The following is an 18,141-nucleotide window of genomic DNA, read 5'->3' as shown; positions in this document are numbered from 1 at the left end:
TATGTGGACTCCTTGAAGAAAAAGAAGAAACAGCATGAAATCTGCAGCAGGATACCATTTTTTGGTTAAATGCACATAGCTTAAGATTCTATGTTTTAAGAGAAAACATACAAACGAGAGGGGAGACCTCAAGTATCTTATAGCAATTGCCCACAGACCGAGAGGGCTATGGGAAGAGAGGAATAAATGTATAGGCAAAACAAGAACAGATCACAGAGCGGCATGAACTGAGTGCTCCATATTTACATCTGGGGTTTAAAGAAAAGATGTTGGAATAGGATGTCCCACGAAACACAGGTGTTGCCAAATGCATGGTCTGTGGGCCTGTCGGGAACGGCGGGGTTTGCTGCCCTGTGGCCCCAGCAGGACCCAGTCTGAGTGCTGTGGCTGCCTGTGAGCTGAGTGCAGGGATATGGGTGTGCGGGCTGTGTTCCTGGACCTTGCCCTGCCTCCACCTCTCCCACCCTCACTCCGGCACTTACCACTGGTGGGGAGGAGCCTGCACTGGTCCTGGGTTTGGTGGGGGCGGTGAGGGGGTCCCAGGCGGAGGGTGGGGGAAAGTGGGTGGGGCCTCTGCTTCCCTGGAGGCCTCCAGGCTTGGGGAAAGTGAACACAGCTCAAGAGTCTGTGTTTTAAGAGAAACTGGAGGTGTCTGTGCAGGGGCGGGGTGTCTAGGCTTTCCCATACAGCCCTTTGCCCGGATAGAGGCTGCGAGTTCCAGCTGGGTGAGTGCTACGCGGGGCCCAGGAGGGGTTTGCTTTCCGTCCGACCTGCCACGTCCTGGGCTCTGCTCCGGGAGGGGCCTAGTGCCTGCTGCCACCCCTTGGGTTCACAGGCCCAGGCTCTGCCTCCTGCCAGGACGGGGGAAACAGATGGAAAGCTGGGGCCGGGAGAGTATCTGGAATGGACCAGGGTGACAGTCGGTGACAAGGACCCATCACCCAGTGTGACTGTTCTTAACCTACAGGGCTGGGTGGGACTTGACCAGCTGGCCTGATGTTAGTGTGGGTCTGAGCAAGTGACTAAGCAATAGGTTGTGCCCAACACATGCATTTGCACACCAAAAATTAGCTTGCTTTTAAAATGGCACTTCGTTAGTTGGGGGTGGTGGTTCGGGCTGGTGGTCCCATCTGCTTGGGAGGCTAAGGCAGGAGGATCGCTTGAGCTCAGAAGGTCAAGGCTGAAGTGAGCTGTGATGCTACCACTGCACTCCAGCCTGGGTGGCAGAGTGAGACTCGGTCTCTTTAAAAAAAAAAAAAAAAAAAAGGCACTTGGTCCTGCGTGGTGCCTCACACCTGTAATCCCAGCACTTTGGGAGGCCAAGGCAGGTGGATCATGAGGTCAGGAGTTCGAGACCAGCCTGGCCAACATGGTGAAACCCCTGTCTCTACTGAAAACACAAAAATTAGCTGGGCATGGCAGTGTGTGCTTGTAATCCCAGCTACTCGGGAGGCTGAGGCAGGAGAATTGCTTGAACCTGGGAGGTGGAGGTTGCAGTGAGCTGGGATCGTGCCATTATACTCCAGCCTGGTCGACAGGGCGAGACTCTGTCTCAAAAAAAAAAAAAAAAAAAAGCACTTGGGTGTTGGGGTTTAGATTTTAAAATAAACAAGAAAACCCCAAACTTTCCTTGTTGTTTAAATTACCCGGGATGAGCACTTGGCTGTTTTGATTGGATGGAGAATAAAGGGCCCGAGGCGCTTCACCCCATTTGTACTTTTTTTCCCAAAAATACATGAGGTTGGGATTCATGGATGGCTTTTGGCTTCAAGGGTCAGATCTTGTCCTGAATGTGTCTTTGAAAACATCGATGCCGCGGGCATGACTGGGAACCACACCTTAGAGCTGGGTGTGGAGGGAAAAGGCTGGGCTGTGAAGTTGTAGCCGTCAGCAGGGAGGGAGGCCGACGGACCCTCAGCCAAAGCGGTGCGTGGCACTGGGGTCTGGTGGCCGGTGAGGAGCCGCTGTGCGATGGCTGCCACAGCAGAACTGGGTGGAGCGTGCTTCTGGGACCACAGCCTGAGGAAGCCAGGCCTGCCTAGCTTGGATGAGCCCCGCCGGCTGGCAGGACGCAGCTCCGGAGAGACCCTGGGCTCCATCACTGTTTCCCAGCTGGTCCCCTGGTCCCCCGGATCAGTGAGGACAAAGTGAGCCAGGCAGGCCTGGTGGGCACAGGTGGTGGCTGCGTTTGGCCAGAGGTGGAAGCGTGACTCTGGGCAGGTGGAGGGGGAAGGAAGGTCCCCCATCTGCGGTGGTCTGTGGTTGATGGAGATCTCTGACCTCTCCAGGCCCTGCGAGTCTGTCCGGAGTGACCTCGTTTTGTCAGTGAGAGCCAGGGGGCTGCCTCCAGCACAGGGGGCCAGGACCTGGGGCGAGGACCCACTACACCAGACAGGGCCTGTACCTGCAGCCAAGAGGGGCTGAGACCCACCCAGTGTGTTCTGCGTGTGCACCCGCGGGCAGGGCTGGGCCTGGGAGGGTCTCGGCAGTGGTGAGAGCACAGCCCCTGCCTGGGCTCAGCCTCAGCCTCAGCTGCTTTCTCTCTCTCTCTCTCTCTTTCTTCCTTTTTCTTTCTCTCTCCCTCTTTCTCTCTTTCTGTTTCTTTTTTTATTTTTCTTTCTTTCTCTGCCTCTTTCTTCCTTTTTTTCTCTCTTTCTCTCTTCCTTTTTTCTCTTTCTCTCTCCCTTTCCCTCCCTCCCTTTCTTCCTTCCTTTCTTGCTTTCTTTTTTTTTTTTTTTTTGATGGAGTCTTGCTCTGTAGCCCAGGCTGGAGTGCAGTGGCGCGATCTCGGCTCACTGCAAGCTCTGCCTCCCGGGTTCATGCCATTCTCCTGCCTCAGCCTCCCGAGTAGCTGGGACTACAGGCGCCTGCCACCACGCCCGGCTAATTTTTTTTTGTATTTTTAGTAGAGATGGGGTTTCATAATGGTCTCGATCTCCTGACCTCGTGATCCGCCCACCTCGGCCTCCCAAAGTGCTGGGATTACAGGCATGAGCCACCGCACCCGGCCTTCTTTCTTTCCTTCTTTCTCTCTCTCTTTCTTTCCTTTCTTCCTTTTTTCCTTTCCTTTCCTTTCTTTTCTCTTCTTTCTTTCCTTCTTTCTGTCTTTTTTATTTTTTATTTTTATTTATTTATCTTTTTGAGACGGAGTCTCGCTCTGTCTCCCAGGCTGGCGTGCAGTGGCGCGATCTCCGCTCACTGCAAGCTCCGCTTCCCGGGTTCCAGCAATCCTCCTGCCTCAGCCTCCCGGGTAGCTGGGATTACAGGCGCCCATCACCATGCCCAGCCAATTTTTTGTATTTTTAGTAGAGACGGGGTTTCACCATGTTAGCCAGGATGGTCTCGATCTTCCGACCTTGTGATCCGCCTGCCTTGGGCTTCCAAAGTGCTGGGATTACAAGTGTGAGCCACTGCACCTGGCCTTCTTTCTCTCTTTCTTTGTCTCACTCTTTCTTTCTGCCTCTCTCTCTCTCCTTCTTTCTGTTTTTAGAGACAGGGTCTTGCTCTGTCACCCAGGCTGGAGTGCAGTGGCACAATCTCAGCTCCCTGCAGCCTCAACCTCCTGGGCTCAAGCAATCCTCCTGCCTCAGCCTCCCGAGTAGCTGGGACCACAGGTGCATGCTACCATGCCCAGCTGAATTTTTTACCTTTTTTGAGACAAAGTCTTGCTCTGTCACCCAGGTTGGAGTGCAGTGGTGCGATCTCAGCTCATGGTAACCTCCGCCTCCCAGGTTCAAGCAATTCTCCTGCCTCAGCCTCCCAAGTAGCTGGGATTACAGGTGTGTGCCACTACACCTCACTAATTTTTGTATTTTCAGTAGAGACAGGGTTTCACCATGTTGGTCAGGCTGGTCTCGAACTCCTGACCTCAGGTGATCTGCCTGCTTCGGCCTCCCAAAGTGCTGGGATTATAGGCCGTGAGCCACTGTGCCTGGCCACGCCCAGCCAATTTTTTTACTTTTTATAGAAATGGGGTCTTGTTATGCTGCCCAAGCTGGTCTCAAACTCCTGGGCCCAGCGATCCTTTCACCTCCTTATGGTGCCCGGTCTCCCAAAGTGCTGGGATGACAGGCATGAGCCACCCACCACATCTGGCCCATGTCAGCTTCCTAAGCCTCAGCTTCCTTGTCTGTGAAGTGGGGCAGTAATGGGGCCTGTGGCGGTGAAGTTCAGAGGAGGGGATGTAAACGGGGCGTTCTCTCAGGTGAAAGGCATTCAACCCAGCCTTTTGTCAGAAGACCTGGGTCTTAGCCGTGTTCCACCATCTTGGAGCTGATGAGGCAGGTTGAATCTGTCATTCTGCGCATCCTGTCGTATATGCTGCTGAGTGTTTTGTGTAGACAGTCCTGAGTGGCTGAGGTTGGGCAGATGTAGCCAGACTATGGACAGAGGCTTCCTGTGAGTCCGAAGAAGTGCCCAGCCCTGCGTTGGCCTGTCCTGGTCGGGCGTGCGGGGCGTGGAGTCTGCAGGCGTCTGTCATCTGGGCCTGGCTCCCCTCCCCTCTGTGGGCGCCACGCCTCCCGCCCTCCATGCTGACCTGAACCTCACAGTCCGGTTCCCTGGGTGGTGGACGAGTCCTTGGGTGTCTCCCACCCGCTTGGTGGCAGCCCTGCTTGCCCCTGCGGGGACCTCCCAGCACTGCACCCTCTTGGCTCCGCAGGCTTCCCTGTCCTGGGGCCGGGAGAGGTCTCTGCAGGCTGGGGAGGGGTTTCTGGAAACATTCTCAGGTGAGCTTTCCCGTGCAAGTCCCAACCTGCGCTTGTCTTGGCTCGGGAGGCCCGGAGCGGCGGGAGGAGGAAGGAAGTGGCATTTCTAGGAGCTGATGGTGTTTTCCAGGTGGGCCTGGTCGTGGCTTTTTCACCCTCGGTGTACCGTGTTGGTCGGTGGGCCCTCGTAGTGGGAGCTGGACCTGTCTCTGCAGGTATTGGAGCAGATTCACAGTGCGGAACGATGGGCTGAGTTACTCACGTTCAACCCCGCGTGTGTGATTTCAGGGGCTGAGCTTGGCGCGCCATCTCCTTGCCTTTTGAAGGCGAGTTTGGCTGTGAACGGAGCTGCTGGTTCTGATCCCGTACGCTTCCTCAGACGTTGTGGGCTTGGAGTCTGTGCCACACTCAGAAAAGCACATTTTTGTGTTTTAAAGTCTACATTTTGCCTCTTTTGGTTGCTTTAAAAATGTTAAGAGCCTTAAGTCTGCCCTTAAGCGTACGTGTCGTGTTTTCTCCAATGATGAACGGCCTCATTTTTAAAATTACACAGATTTACAATGTAATTATAGAAAATTAGAAAATACACGTCAGTACAAGTAATCAAAAAAAAAAAAACAAAAGAAAAAGAAAAAAACACATGAAAATGACCCCAACCCCACCCCCTCTCCACCCCACAGTTGCTATTAGCCTTACGGTGCATAGCCTCTAGGTTATTTACTTTATGGTTGTGTTTTTAAATTGTACAGTTTCATCGACACCCTATTTTCACTGGCAACACTGTGAACACCTTTATTCCTTGTTACATGTATCTACACCACCATTTTTAATGACCACACGGTGTTAGGTTGTTGAGAAGGACTGTGATTTATTTAATAAAGCCTGTATTGCTGACAGTGCTTCGGTGAATATTATTACACACACACATCTTTTCATTGTCGTTTATTTAATAAAGCCTCTGTTGCTGACAGTGCTTCGGTGAATATTATTACACACACACATCTTTTCAGTGTCGTTTATTTAATAAAGCCTCTGTTGCTGGCAGTGCTTCGGTGAATATTATTACAATATTTTTACATCTTTTCATAGTCATCCCGTTGTTTCTTCAAGTTCCTAAATGTGGAACTGAGGGTCCCAAGGGTGGCCACTCCAGCAGCTTTTGATATTTGTTGCAATGCCCTTAAAGAGGCAGTGCCATCCTTCCATTCATCCTTCCAGGCATCCGTTTTTTCATTCACTTTTCCCTTCCTTCCTCTCCTCTAATAGCCACCCATCCATCATCTGTCGGTCCATCCACCTGTCCATCCATCCATCTATCCATCCACCCACCCACTTGTTCATCCACCCAGCTGTCCATCCATCCATCTATCATCCATCCTTACATCCATCCATCCATCCATCCACTAATCTACTCAAATCTACTCACACACCTGTTCATCCACCCACCTGTCCATCCATCCATCTATCCATCCACCCACCCACTTGTACATCCACCCACCTGTCCATCCATCCATCCATTAATCTACTCAAATCTACTCACACACCTGTTCATCCACCCACCTGTCCGTCCATCCATCTATCCATCCATCCATCCGTTGATCTACTCACCCACCTGTTCATCCACCCACCTGTCCATCTATCCATCCATCCATCCGTTGATCTACTCACCCACCTGTACATCCACCCACCTGTCCATCCATCCATCATCCATCCTTACATCCATCCATCCATCCATTAATCTACTCAAATCTACTCACACACCTGTTCATCCACCCACCTGTCCGTCCATCCATCCATCCATCCATCCATCCGTTATTCTACTCACCCACCTATTCATCCACCCACCTGTCCGTCCATCCATCTGTCCATCCATCCATCCATCCATCCGTTGATCTACTCACCCACCTGTTCATCCACCCACCTGTCCATCCATCCATCCATCCGTTGATCTACTCACCCACCTGTTCATCCACCCACCTGTCCATCCATCCATCGATTCATCTACTCACCCATTTGTCCATCCATCCATCCGCTCACCCACCTGTTCAATCCACCCGCCTGTCCATCCATCCATCCATCCATCCATCCATTCATTCGTCTACTCACCCACCTGTACATCCATGTGTCCATTCACTCATCCGTTCATCCACCCACCCATCCAACCATCCATATTGTGCTGAGGAGCTTCTGCGTCAGACCCGGGCTGGGCACTAGAGCCTGCAAGGAACATGTGGTCTCCATCTGAGAGCTCAGTCAGCTGTGGGAGGCGGAAGCCATCCGTGGAGTGAGAAGCACAGGAACTGAGGTGTTGCAGGAGGGGGAGGCATCAGGATCGGGAGTGGTGTGGGCGGGGGCTTTCAAAAGGTTTGTGATCTCTGAGCCACAGGCCAGGTAGGACTGGAACCCGGGACAGGCCGTTTCCTGGAAACTGTCCTGACCCAGCACCACTGGCCAGCCCTGACCCAAATAGCAGGGGCTCCTTACTGGACGCCTGCCCAGAGAGAGCTGGGGGTGGCCGTCCCAGACGCTCAGGCCCTCAATCCCCAGCTTAGAGACCAGTCCAGGGCACAGATGGAGAGAGAGACAGAGAGAGGGAGGGGTGGACGAGAGGGAGGCACATGCTCTGCTCGGAGGAGGGCTCTGCCCCTATAGGGAAGCCAGACCGTGGAGGAGCGTTCATGATAGGGGCTTCAGCCTGACTTCACCTCTTCCTGGCTTCTTGACCTTGGGTGAAGTTACTTTGTGTCTTGTTTCCTTATCTGGAAACTGGACGGAACAGCAGTGCTGACCTCATAGGGGCGGGTGAGGATGGAGCAAGAGACAGACCAGGGGCTCTGCCCTCGGCCCCCGCAGGAAGGGCCGGCTGGAATGTCTTCGTGTTTTTCTTTCTCTTACCAGGCCTGAGAGCTGGGGGCCTTCCGTGTCCCCAGAACCCAGCACAGCCTCTGATGCAGAAGTGCGAAGCTGTGTTTGTTGATGGGGTAGGTGGGGCAACCCACATGTGAGACGATTTAAAATCTGAGCCAGCAGCTTCACGTAACCTTCCAGAGTGACTGCTGGATGAGAAGAGAAAACTGTTTTTTACAGACAGAAGAGGCCAGGGCCTTTTAATGCCATTAAGTGCTGAGAGAAAGAGGAAGCCATGGGGGTTTTGTGTGAAAGGGGCAGACAGTGGAAAAAGAGGGTGAAGCCGTGCGGGGGGGACATGGACAGAGCTGACCTCACCTCGGGGCTGTTGCCTGGAGACGTTTGTGTTCAGGCCTTTGTCGGCGATGAGCTGGTGACATTCGGGCATTAACATTTCCTCTGAAGAAAAATGGGGCTCCCAGACCTTTTTGGTACACGAGGCTGGGCTCTCTGGGCTCTGCTGATCACAGAGAGTTGGGGACTGTGTTCCTCCGTCCCTGGGGAGATGAGGGACACCTGTGTGGCCAACGGAGCAACCCAGTGAGGCTCATTTAAGAGGCACTCCAGGAGGGGCTGCTCTGAGCGGGGCCACGCCCAGGCACCTGGGTGTGTGGAAAGTCGGCTTTCATTGATACCAAGGACTGAACAGCCCCCTCTGGAGACTGAAACCTCCCAGGAAGGGTTTCAGCCCACCCCTGCCTTTGCTTAGGCTGTGGTAGAAGCACGTGAGTGGAACGTGAGCCTCGAGTCACTGGGGTGCAGCCACATTGACCTGCCCCCTGTTCATGGGGAGTTCTGTCATGTCCATCGTGGCCCAGCGTGTGATGGCAGGAACCAGAAGCACTGGAAACGTCCATCTGGGCAGGAACAGGTGAAGGAGCGAGGGTTTTCATATAGAGAATGCCAGGCAGGGCGGGTGCAGCGGCTCATGCCTGTAATCCCAGCACTTTGGGAGGCCAAGGTAGGAGGATTGCTTGAGGTCAGGAGTTGGAGACCAGCCTGGGCAACATAGCGAGACCCATCAATTAAAAAATAAAAAATAAAAATAAGCAGGCGTGGTGGCACGTGCCTGTAGTCCCAGCTACTTGGGAGGCTCAGGTGAGAGGACACCTTAAACCCAGGAGTTGGAGGCTGCGGTGAGCTGTGATCGCACCCCTATACTCCAGCCTGGGCAACAAAATGAGACCCCATCTCTTAAAAGAAAAAAAAGAATACTAGGCAGCTGTAAAAGGAGCAAAGAAGCTTCCAGATTTATGTTTTCACCCAGGTGCATTTCAGAAAATATGGGTCAGGAGGGAGAATAGAATTGTGAAAGGGTATCTTTCTGTCAGTGATATGCAAATGATGCAGACACCACTGGAAATGCACGCTTTTCACGGGTGCACACGTGTGGTCACGGATGCCCATGTGTGAAGTGGAGACGCATAGCAAGGGTGGTGGAGGCAGCACTTGCCCTCCACACCTGGGCCCGGAGGAGGCTGGAGCCGCAGCTGTGATGCTGGACAGTTTTCCAGGAGAGAGTGGTGGAGGCAGCAGGGTCCTGAGCTGGGTGGTGGGGGGTACACAGTGTCCATTTGATTACTTAAGGCATTTAATGGAATATTTTACCATTATAAGTTGAAATATTTTTTTAAAAAAGAGGGAGGAATTGTAAAATGATTTCTTAAAGGTCTGTTCATTCTGAGAACCCATACTTTGTGGTTTTGAAGAAATGCAGTTTAGAGAACGGTGCCAGGGCGGCTCCTGCAGATGCGTGCACCAGGGAGGCCGTGGCCAGGAAATGTCCCCACCGGGGCCAGGTGCCCGGGACTGGGGCTGGGGCAGCATGGCCAAGCCCCACCACCCATGGGCGGAGAGTGGAGGGCCCCCAGCTCTCCCTACAGCCCTGCCACCCACTGACCCCTCCCCAGGTGGGAGGACAGTGGAGGCCCCCCGGCCCTCCCTACAGCCCTGCCACACACTGACCCCTCCCCAGGTGGGAGGACAGTGGAGGCCCCCCGGCCCTCCCTACAGCCCTGCCACACACTGACCCCTCCCCAGGTGGGAGGACAGTGGAGGCCCCCCGGCCTTCCCTACAGCCCTGCCACACACTGACCCCTCCCCAGGTGGGAGGACAGTGGAGGCCCCCCGGCCCTCCCTACAGCCCTGCCACACACTGACCCCTCCCCAGGTGGGAGGACAGTGGAGGCCCCCCAGCCTTCCCTACAGCCCTGCCACACACTGACCCCTCCCCAGGTGGGAGGACGGTGGAGGCCCCCCAGCCCTCCCTACAACCCTGCCACACACTGATCCCTCCCCAGGTGGGAGGACAGTGGAGGCCCCCCAGCCCTCCCTACAGCCCTGCCACACACTGACCTCTCCTGCAGTTCTGCCTTCCTCCCGGAGGAAACAGGAAACTGAGTTGCCAGGGAAGTTGGGAACAAGGACTCAAAAAAGAAGCACTTCTTAAATAGAGAGAAAACAACCACTATTTTAAGAATGACTTATTTATGGACCCTGGAATCAGGAGGGTCAGGGCTGTCTGGATCTTTGATTTCATATTTGTTTCCTGGGTGGCTCAGCCCCCATCCCTGGGAGTCAGGGTGCACCTGTGGGCCCGCAAAGGTTTCCAAGAATCTCCTTTTTAAGTAATCAGGGCAGGCAGGAGGCCACCCTCGGAGTGTCCCCGTGGGTGCACTCCCTGCCTGGGTCTCTGGTTTCTCTGCGTCACATTGTGGGCTGAGTGCTCTTTGAGGGGTCTGGTCTCCGAAGGTGGTTATTGCATCTGTTAATAAGAGTGTGACGCTGGCACCGTGTTCTGGGGTAGGTGCCTCTCTACCTTCCTGGCCGACAGGTGCTTCCCCACTTGTCCCGGGTGCCTCTGCCAGCTCCCCCATGCCCCTTGGGTCCTGTCTGCATGGTCCATTTCACATCCAGATTTGGAACATTGGACAGCCAGGCTTCCTGGTTGGCGCAGCCCTGAGACTCGGCCTCACCGGCTTCGAGTTTGCGTGTCATGAAGGGTCTGTGTTTTCCACAGAGAGGTTCCGAATGCACATGTCACTTCTGTGTCAAGGGTCCCAGGCTCCTTCGACTGAAAGTGTTCTCCCTGAAAGGAAAACAATGCAGAAAACATGTCATCAAGATTGCTGGTTGTATTCTAGTAGAATTGTATTTACCGATGGGAGAATGTTCACAATCTATTGTTACTTTTGTTTTTCTAAATGGAGTTCAAAATGCATGTATGGCATGACCCCATTTTTGTAAAAACCAAAACAGCAAACTGCGTCTGTGCACAGAACAGAAATGGGGCTGGGAGGTTGTGTGCCCAGGGCTGGCGGTGCCATCTCTGGCCTTCGGGTCATGAAGGATTTCAATTTTCTTCTTTGAACTCTCATGGATTTTCTCATTTTCCCCAATGACTGTGAAGCGATTTACACAAGACTGTGAAATGAGGGGAGGAAGGGTTTAAATGTCCCTGTGCTGCCTGCAGCCCTAATTTGGCGTGTTTTGCTTTTCAGTGACATATTCGATGCCATGTTCCCTGTCACTCACATCGCTGGGGAGACTGTTATACAGCAAGGTACGTTCTGCCTGCTCCTCGGAGCCAAAGTCCAGAGGGGAAAAATGGACTATGCACTTAAAAAAAAAATAGCATAAGGGCAGGCACGATGGCCCACGCCTGTAATCCCAGCACTTTGGGAGGCTGAGGTGGGCAGATCACCTGAGGTCAGGGGTTCGAGACCAGCCTGGTGGTCCAGGTGACCAGCATGGTGAAACCCTGTCTCTACTAAAAATAAAAATTAGCTGGGTGTGGTGGCGGGTGCCTGTAATCCCAGCTGCTCCAGAGGCTGAGGCAGGAGAATCGCTTGAACCTGGGAGGCGGAGGTTGCAGTGGGCTGAGATCACGCCATTGCACTCTAGCCTAGGTGATACAGTAAGACTCTGTCTCAAATTTCAAAAGGATATATATAGACTTGTACATACATACACACATATAATATGCATATATGTCTACATATATATGCACGTATATGTGCACACATATGTGTGTACATGTATACATATATGTACACATATATACATATGTGTGTGTATAAAATAGATACATATATGTATAAAACTAAGTAAATATAAAATATATACATATGTATAAAACTAAAGTAATATAAAATTATACACACACACACACACACACACACACACGCATAAAATTCTCATTGTGAGGCCGGGCGCGGTGGCTCACGCCTGTAATCCCAGCACTTTGGGAGGCCGAGGCGGGTGGATCACCTGAGGTCAGGAGTTTGAAACCAGCCTGGCCAACATGGTGAAACTCCATCTCTACTAAAACTACAAAAAAATTAGCTGGGCGTGGTGGCAGGTGCCTGTAATCCCAGGTACTCCAGAGGCTGAGGCAGGAGAATCGCTTGAACCTGGGAGGTGGAGGTTGCAGTGAGCCGAGAGCCTGACTCCGTCTCAAAAAAAACAAAAAACAAACAAAAAGAAAAACACCTCTCATTGTTTAGAGAAAGTTCACTAATGAAACTTAAGAACAGGCTCTTTAACAAGTTATCTCAATGTTTGTATAATCTTGTCATTAAAAAGAATTGGTAGCACCCAGGATGTTGCTTCGAGGGTCTCTGCAACAGTGTTGCGAAAGTCGTTTGCAAGAGAAACTGTAACTTGTATGTCTGGATGTACTTTGTATCTGTTGACTTTCTTCTTTTGTTACAGGGAATGAAGGAGACAACTTCTATGTCGTTGATCAAGGGGAAGTGGATGTGAGTGTCGCTAACTTGTCTTTGGAAAATAGCGCGTCTTTGCATGTCCGGTGTGAAGACTTGCCCTCCAGGCAGCACCAGGCCCCCAACAAACACTGCGCTGAGTGCCGTATTCCTAGTGTTTTAATCCAGAAATGCAACTGCTATCTCTTGGAAGAGAATATGGGAATATGAGAAAGTGCAGAGGGAAACAAGGGTGATGCTGGCAGGTGCCGGCAGCGGCCTCAGGTTTTCCAGGGCCGCTGTCTTCCGCTTGCCCCCGGGCTGCGACTGCTGGGGCTGGCCAGGGCGGTTCTGTTTGACCCAGCGCCGTCTCCAGATCCGAGGCCGATGAATACACCAGGCTCACCCACCACATGGGATGTTAACATCTCAAAGTGGGTGGGAGAGCGACGTGCTTAGAGACCCCCTAGGACCGACGACTTCACGATCAAACAACGGCTGCCTTTTGCGCCTGCGTTTGGCTCCCAGCTTGGAACGTCCCAGCCGTGAGTCGGGTCTCACTGTGTCATCTTCCCACGCTTGTCTCAAGAGCATCTTTTATGAGATGCTCCCACTGTTTTGGAAGGAGAAGCTTCCCCTCCGCTGGAGACCCCGTCTCGTGCCCGATGGCCAGGCCATGTGTATGTGTATGTATAAAATAGATACATATATGTATAAAACTAAGTAAATAAACACATACACACGGCACATGACATCACCCCTGGCCCCGCAGCCCAGTCTTGCCCAGAGCCTCTGGCTCCCATCTCTTCTGCCGTCCGGTTTAGAGCCTGGGTGCTCTGGTGTGAAGGCTTTGAGGCCCCCTCATCCCCCGCTGGGCTCCTGTTCTGCAGGCCGCCCCCCGCACGGCAGCCTGACCTTGCTGGTGCGGAGCTGATGGTGCAGCCTCTGGGAAAACGCCCGCTAGGAGTTTGTTTCCCTTTGAATCAGGCCCGAGCCCCTGCGGAGTCAGCGGGAAGGACCTCAGTGACATCATCCTCCCTCGGTTCCTGGAATCCGCCTGCACTGGCGGCCCCAGGGCCTTGGTGTGTGTCCCCTGCTCTGCCGGGAACCCCGTTAGCTCCTGCTTCTCCTTCTGCTCTCTGCTAAATGTCACTTCCCAGTGGGCATCAGCAGACATGTCCCACGCCTCCCTCGTAGGACCCTCTGCGGCTCGTGGTGATGACATCTCATGAGACCGTCTCTTTACGGCCTTTCTGCACACAGACTGGAAGCCCCCACAGTGCAGGACGCTTTGGGGATTCTGCTACCCGAGACGGTCACTGCTTCCCAGGCTGGCTGAGTCTTCTCTGGGTCTGGGATGCCTGCCTGCCCTTCTCCTTGTCCGCCTGCCCTTCTCCTTGTCCACCTGCCCCAGGAGGTGGCCTCCGCACTCTTCCGTGCAGGCAACGCCACCCCCGGCTGCCCAGCACGAGCTATTTCGAGGTCTGGCCTCCGGTGGCTGTGCCTCTGTCCCGGCCACGCTATTCTGGGGAGGGCATTTACTCATTTGTTTCCGTGGCAGCCGCGGAGTCTGTCCCCCATCGCGCTGTGTTTCTGGGAACCTGAGCAGGCCCACTCTGCTTCCGGAGCTGATAGCACAGGAAATGACTCAGGGGTCCCGCCTCCCCGTGGGGGGCACGTGCCTCGGGCCTGGCCCGCGCAGGCGGAGAAAGAGCCAGTTTCTCTTCTCCCTGGTGTGCTCTGTCCTGAGCCGGAACCCACGGGCTGGGCCCCTAGACAGGGCCTCTGGGGCAGACCTTTGTGTCAGGGAGTGGGGGTGCTCCTGTCTCCCCTAGAGATGGAAACTGAGGCAGGTGCCAAAGGTCCCGGGTACTGCCCGGCCTCAGAGGAAGTGTGGAGGGGGAAGGCTGGAGGGCGGCACTGGCGGGTCAACCCTGGGCTCAGCTGCCAGGCCGCAGAGTCATCTCCTGCTGGCTTTGCTTCGAGTTTAAAAAAAGCCTAGCCCAGGAAATAGAGAAGACAGAGGAGGATGCGGCCAGCATCCCAGCCGGGCATCGTCTTGGGGCCTGGGCCCGTCCCAGGAGGTGGCCCCGTTGTGCCTGGTATCCAGACACCAGGGCCTGATGGGGGGCTGCAGGGAATGGGGCTCAGCCCCCAGCAGATGGGGCAGGGCTGATCCCAGAGAGACCCTGGCAGCCCAGGCCTGCCCAGTGGTCAGCAGTGCTGAAGGCAGAGCCACCTCTGCGGGAGGTATGGGATGGGCAGCTTCCTGACTGGACCCACCGCTTTATCCCAGCCCCAAATCTCATGCTACTACTTATAGCCCCTCTTCTAGTTCACACTCTGGGTCCTGGTGTCACCGTGTCACCTCCTCCCCCGCCCTGTCCATTCTGGGTCCTGGTGTCACCATGTCACCTCCTCCCCCGCCCTCTCCACTCTGGGTCCTGGTGTCACCTCCTCCCCCATCCCCTCCACTCTGGGTCCTGGTGTCACCTCCTCCCCCACCCTCTCCACTCTGGATCCTGGTGTCACCTCCTCCCCCATCCCCTCCACTCTGGGTCCTGGTGTCACCGTGTCACCTCCTCCCCTGCCCTCTCCACTCTGGGTCCTGGTGTCACCTCCTCCCCCATCACCTCCACTCTGGGTCCTGGAGTCATCATGTCGCCTCCTCCCCTGCCGTCTCCTTCCTGGATGTTTATTGAGTGCCTGCTTTATGCCTGGCACTTGTGACGAGGAGGACCTGGTGCCTGCTCTGGTGTGGGGGAGGTTGTGGCTTAATGGGGGAGAGGGACCAAGAACAGGAAATTAGCCAATGAATGTCCTGACTCTGGTTCTGCCCCTCCTGTCCCCTCTGCTTTCATTCCTGCTCTGCCTCACAAACTCCTACACATCCTACAAGACCCCGCCAGGCCCAGCTCATCTATCTGCGGCTGGGCTTTGATAGATACTGACCTCCGCAGATGACCGAGGACCTGCCTCCCTGCGGTGGGCCTGGGAGCTCCATAGGTCCCCACTGAGGCCTTTCCTCCCCTGTGGAATGCTTCTCCCTCTTCTGTGTCTGCCCATGTCATTCAAATCTTCCAGTTAAATTCCAAAGGCATCTTCAAGGTGCCGGTTTGCATCGGCAGGGCTTGGGGTTGAGGCCACCCCCAGGAATTCTGCTTTCCATGTTCTTTGCTTCTCCTAAATGAACAGATGTGGAAGAGACAAACCCTTTACCCAGAGATCCCTTGTGGAGCCTGAAACCGACATGGGGCTCCCAGGTTATGTTCCCGCCTAACTTGTCGTGTCTCGAGGAGGGTGGTGGACGGGTCAGGATCGCGTGGACTCGGGACTCAGAGGACCCAGGCTGTGTTCTTTGCTGGCCGTGACCTTTGCCCAGGCCCTTGTGTGGCTGAGCCGTGCCATTTCCATATTACTCAGAAAAACGAACAGAGCTCACTGCTGCCGGGAAGACTGAGATAACCCTCCTGGGGTTCTGCTCTTGGCCCCTGGTGTGGAAGCCATTGGCCGCCTGGCAGCTGCCCCGCCCCGTCTCATGTCCCCAACACACGCACCGCAAGAGCCTCGTCCACCCCACAGAGGAAACGCCCACCACCCACGCCCCGGGCTTGTCCTCATCTTCAGCGCGGGTGGCCACCCTCCTGCCCCAGCGCCAGGCCCCAGCCGGCAGCATGCTGAGGACTTCCTGGGAGAGGTGAGGGTGTGAGGGGCCGGCGGCTGGGACTGCTGGAGGGATCAGGTCCCTGTCTTTCCGCCGTTGGCCTCCAGGCTCCCGGGAGCCCCACCTGGGCCAGGACCTCGGCAAAGGGGCCGGGAGGTGTTGCTGCCCCGGCTGACCTTGGCGGGACCTCCTCCTCCTCCTCCTCATCCTCGCAGAATCCCCACCCACCCCTCGACCTCTGGACTCAGTGAGGCATCTCCCTTCCCTCCGTCCTTCCAGCAGGACAGACCCCCCCTCCCCCCGCCGCCGTCTGTAACTCCTTCATACATGACAGGGTGGTGGGAGAGGCCGGTGCCGGAGCCACTTCAAAGCAGGGACCGTTTCCTCCAGCCCTGAGCTCACTGGGTCCCCTCCCAGCCCAGCCCCTGCCCTGGCCCAGTTAGCGTGGGGTCGGGGCTGAAGCCTGAGTGGAGGGGAGACGGTTTTCTCTCAGACACGACGCGTCGTGGCGTCCTGCCTGGCTTCTCGCCAGGCCCGGGGACGTTGGGAGGCAATTTTGAGAAAGGAAAGAGTGAGGTCACCCTCGTGTAACTGGAGTTCCCCAAATATATTGTCCTGGCAAATCCCTCCCCTTCCCCCTCCCCATCCCCCTGCCCGTCCCTGCGCCTCCCCCTGCCCGTCCCTACCCCTCCCCAGCCCCCCCGGGTCAGGCACAAAGGCAGCTTTAAGGCCTCTGCTGGACCCGGCCCTCCAGAGCCAGGATGTCTGAGCCCCGTGGGTGGATGCCCACTTCCTGGCTACAGGCTCACGTGGGATGGCCGGGCCCCCTGCGGGAACCGGCTGTGACTTATGGGGCTGTCCCGTGAGTCCCAGGCGGCTGTGCACGAACACCAAGCACCTCCATCAACTTCAGATTTTCCAGCCAGGGCAGGGGTGGGCGTCAGGGAGTGCCCGGCGGGGCCGGGCGGGGCCGGGCGCAGGAGCTGCCTGCAGGGGCCCTCCTGTGATGTGGGAGGCCCTTCGCATGCAGGGTAAATCCGCAGGGCCCGTGTGGGTGAAGGCCACATTTAAGGGAATCAAAGGATGCTCAGTAAGGAATCTGGAATGAAAAAGTGGCATGTTGGGTAGCCCGGGTGAGTTATGGGCATATGTATTATAATAATTACTGTTATTACAGCACCCGGGGGAACGGCCGCATGGCAGCCCCAGGCAGCCCCATCCAGCTGCTGTGTGAACCCTGGGTGCTGCATGTTGTTTGCTGGTTTCTGTAAATCGCCTCCCTGGGGCAATGGGATGGATGTACCCTGGGTTCGGGGCTGCAGGACTACGGCTACCCAGGGTCCGAGTGGGTTTCTGAGGCTAGCGGTTTTCCCTGGTTTTATTCTGCGTGGCGGGAAGGGACGGCCGTTTGCCGTGGGTATTTAACTGCGCTGGCCAAGTGCCGGAGGCCCATCAGGAAGCCGTCCCCTCAAGGACCTGGCCCTGGCCCTTTAAGCCAGCAGAGCTTGGAGGTGGACGTCACCCACTTCTGCAGGGTGGACGCTGCCCTCTGACCAGCAGCGTCCAGGGGGACGGCCAGGTGACAAAATGCCAAGAGCACCAGGTTCAGTTTGAATTACGGTTTTCCAGAGACTCCGAAAGTGCCTGCTGCCGTCCGTGTGTTGCCAAGAGCTATAATCCATTTTTCTAAGTATAAAAATATCTTCCAATGTATTTTATTCATGGAACATAGCATTTCTATTTAAAAGGACACTCAGCTGCTGACTTTGCAGGCCTGGGAACGTAGCTCCCTTCCAAGCCCTGTTTGGGGCTCGACTCTTCCCCTGATTGTTTTTGGGCCCGTTATCCCGACTCCCTCTTTTTGCTCCCCGTCCCAGGCATCACGACGTCCCCACTGACGCTGGCCGTTCCGGGCTTCCCTCGGTTTCACACAACACGTCTGGGGGAAGAGCTCTTTCTGGGGGGCTGGGGAGCACCGCCAGGCAGCTGGGTGTACCCCGGAGCAGGGCGCCTCAGCTTGGTGATCTGATCAGATGTTATTCAGGTTGTGTCTTGTGTTCTGTGTGTTTTTAAAATTCGTTTTTTAATTTTTTGAGATGGGGTCTCGCTCTGTCGCCCAGGCTGGGAGTGCGGTGGCGTGATCATAGCTCATTGCAGCCTT

At 55.1% G+C, this 18,141-nt stretch overlaps 1 protein-coding gene and 2 long non-coding RNA genes across 14 annotated transcripts in view, besides 9 other annotated features; 2 read left to right on the top strand and 1 right to left on the bottom strand.

The window, feature by feature from the left end:
* PRKAR1B (protein kinase cAMP-dependent type I regulatory subunit beta) overlaps positions 1-18,141 on the top strand; it is a 179,738-nt gene that overhangs the window by 110,369 nt on the left and 51,228 nt on the right. For 10 of the 11 annotated variants that reach the window (XM_047420607.1, NM_001164759.1, XM_047420608.1 and 7 more), the window contains 2 exons: positions 11,114-11,175; positions 12,327-12,373. In XM_047420607.1, coding sequence (XP_047276563.1) covers positions 11,114-11,175; positions 12,327-12,373 — 109 coding nt within the window. Of the gene's footprint in view, positions 1-592; positions 726-11,113; positions 11,176-12,326; positions 12,374-18,141 lie in introns of those variants that run through there. The other variant, XM_047420610.1, reaches the window with a different exon arrangement.
* Positions 3,992-5,605, top strand: LOC105375119 (uncharacterized). Its single transcript, XR_007060176.1, has 2 exons — positions 3,992-4,727; positions 4,995-5,605. It is a non-coding gene; the product is annotated as an uncharacterized LOC105375119 (long non-coding RNA).
* Positions 4,120-4,620: an enhancer, noted in NCBI's record as "H3K4me1 hESC enhancer chr7:653583-654083 (GRCh37/hg19 assembly coordinates)". NCBI's record gives its function as "activates a minimal SCP1, AML or CMV promoter by ChIP-STARR-seq in naive and primed H9 embryonic stem cells {active_cell/tissue: H9 hESC(naive and primed)}" and the evidence as "EXISTENCE:reporter gene assay evidence [ECO:0000049][PMID:30033119]".
* Positions 4,621-5,121: an enhancer, noted in NCBI's record as "H3K4me1 hESC enhancer chr7:653082-653582 (GRCh37/hg19 assembly coordinates)". NCBI's record gives its function as "activates a minimal SCP1, AML or CMV promoter by ChIP-STARR-seq in naive and primed H9 embryonic stem cells {active_cell/tissue: H9 hESC(naive and primed)}" and the evidence as "EXISTENCE:reporter gene assay evidence [ECO:0000049][PMID:30033119]".
* On the bottom strand, positions 10,064-15,721 carry PRKAR1B-AS1 (PRKAR1B antisense RNA 1). Of its 2 annotated transcripts, none has more exons than NR_110054.1 (2): positions 15,269-15,721; positions 10,064-10,701 (listed from the first exon to the last, which is right to left on the bottom strand). It is a non-coding gene; the product is annotated as a PRKAR1B antisense RNA 1 (long non-coding RNA). The 2 variants fall into 2 exon arrangements; NR_110055.1 differs by lacking the exon at positions 15,269-15,721 and adding an exon at positions 14,950-15,168.
* Positions 13,559-13,918: an enhancer, noted in NCBI's record as "active region_25473". NCBI's record gives its function as "activates an Ori minimal core promoter by ATAC-STARR-seq in GM12878 lymphoblastoid cells {active_cell/tissue: GM12878}" and the evidence as "EXISTENCE:reporter gene assay evidence [ECO:0000049][PMID:35858748]".
* Positions 14,189-14,298: an enhancer, noted in NCBI's record as "active region_25472". NCBI's record gives its function as "activates an Ori minimal core promoter by ATAC-STARR-seq in GM12878 lymphoblastoid cells {active_cell/tissue: GM12878}" and the evidence as "EXISTENCE:reporter gene assay evidence [ECO:0000049][PMID:35858748]".
* Positions 14,189-14,918: a biological region, named in NCBI's record as "H3K4me1 hESC enhancer GRCh37_chr7:643285-643970".
* Positions 14,233-14,918: an enhancer, noted in NCBI's record as "H3K4me1 hESC enhancer chr7:643285-643970 (GRCh37/hg19 assembly coordinates)". NCBI's record gives its function as "activates a minimal SCP1, AML or CMV promoter by ChIP-STARR-seq in naive H9 embryonic stem cells {active_cell/tissue: H9 hESC(naive)}" and the evidence as "EXISTENCE:reporter gene assay evidence [ECO:0000049][PMID:30033119]".
* Positions 14,979-15,028: an enhancer, noted in NCBI's record as "active region_25471". NCBI's record gives its function as "activates an Ori minimal core promoter by ATAC-STARR-seq in GM12878 lymphoblastoid cells {active_cell/tissue: GM12878}" and the evidence as "EXISTENCE:reporter gene assay evidence [ECO:0000049][PMID:35858748]".
* Positions 16,124-16,183: a silencer, noted in NCBI's record as "silent region_17814". NCBI's record gives its function as "represses an Ori minimal core promoter by ATAC-STARR-seq in GM12878 lymphoblastoid cells {active_cell/tissue: GM12878}" and the evidence as "EXISTENCE:reporter gene assay evidence [ECO:0000049][PMID:35858748]".
* Positions 16,924-17,033: a silencer, noted in NCBI's record as "silent region_17813". NCBI's record gives its function as "represses an Ori minimal core promoter by ATAC-STARR-seq in GM12878 lymphoblastoid cells {active_cell/tissue: GM12878}" and the evidence as "EXISTENCE:reporter gene assay evidence [ECO:0000049][PMID:35858748]".

This window comes from Homo sapiens, chromosome 7, assembly GCF_000001405.40.
Source record: "Homo sapiens chromosome 7, GRCh38.p14 Primary Assembly".
NCBI lineage: Eukaryota > Metazoa > Chordata > Mammalia > Primates > Hominidae > Homo > Homo sapiens.
Note: the sequence above shows the minus strand (reverse complement) of the source record. Positions and strands in the feature narration are given on the sequence as shown.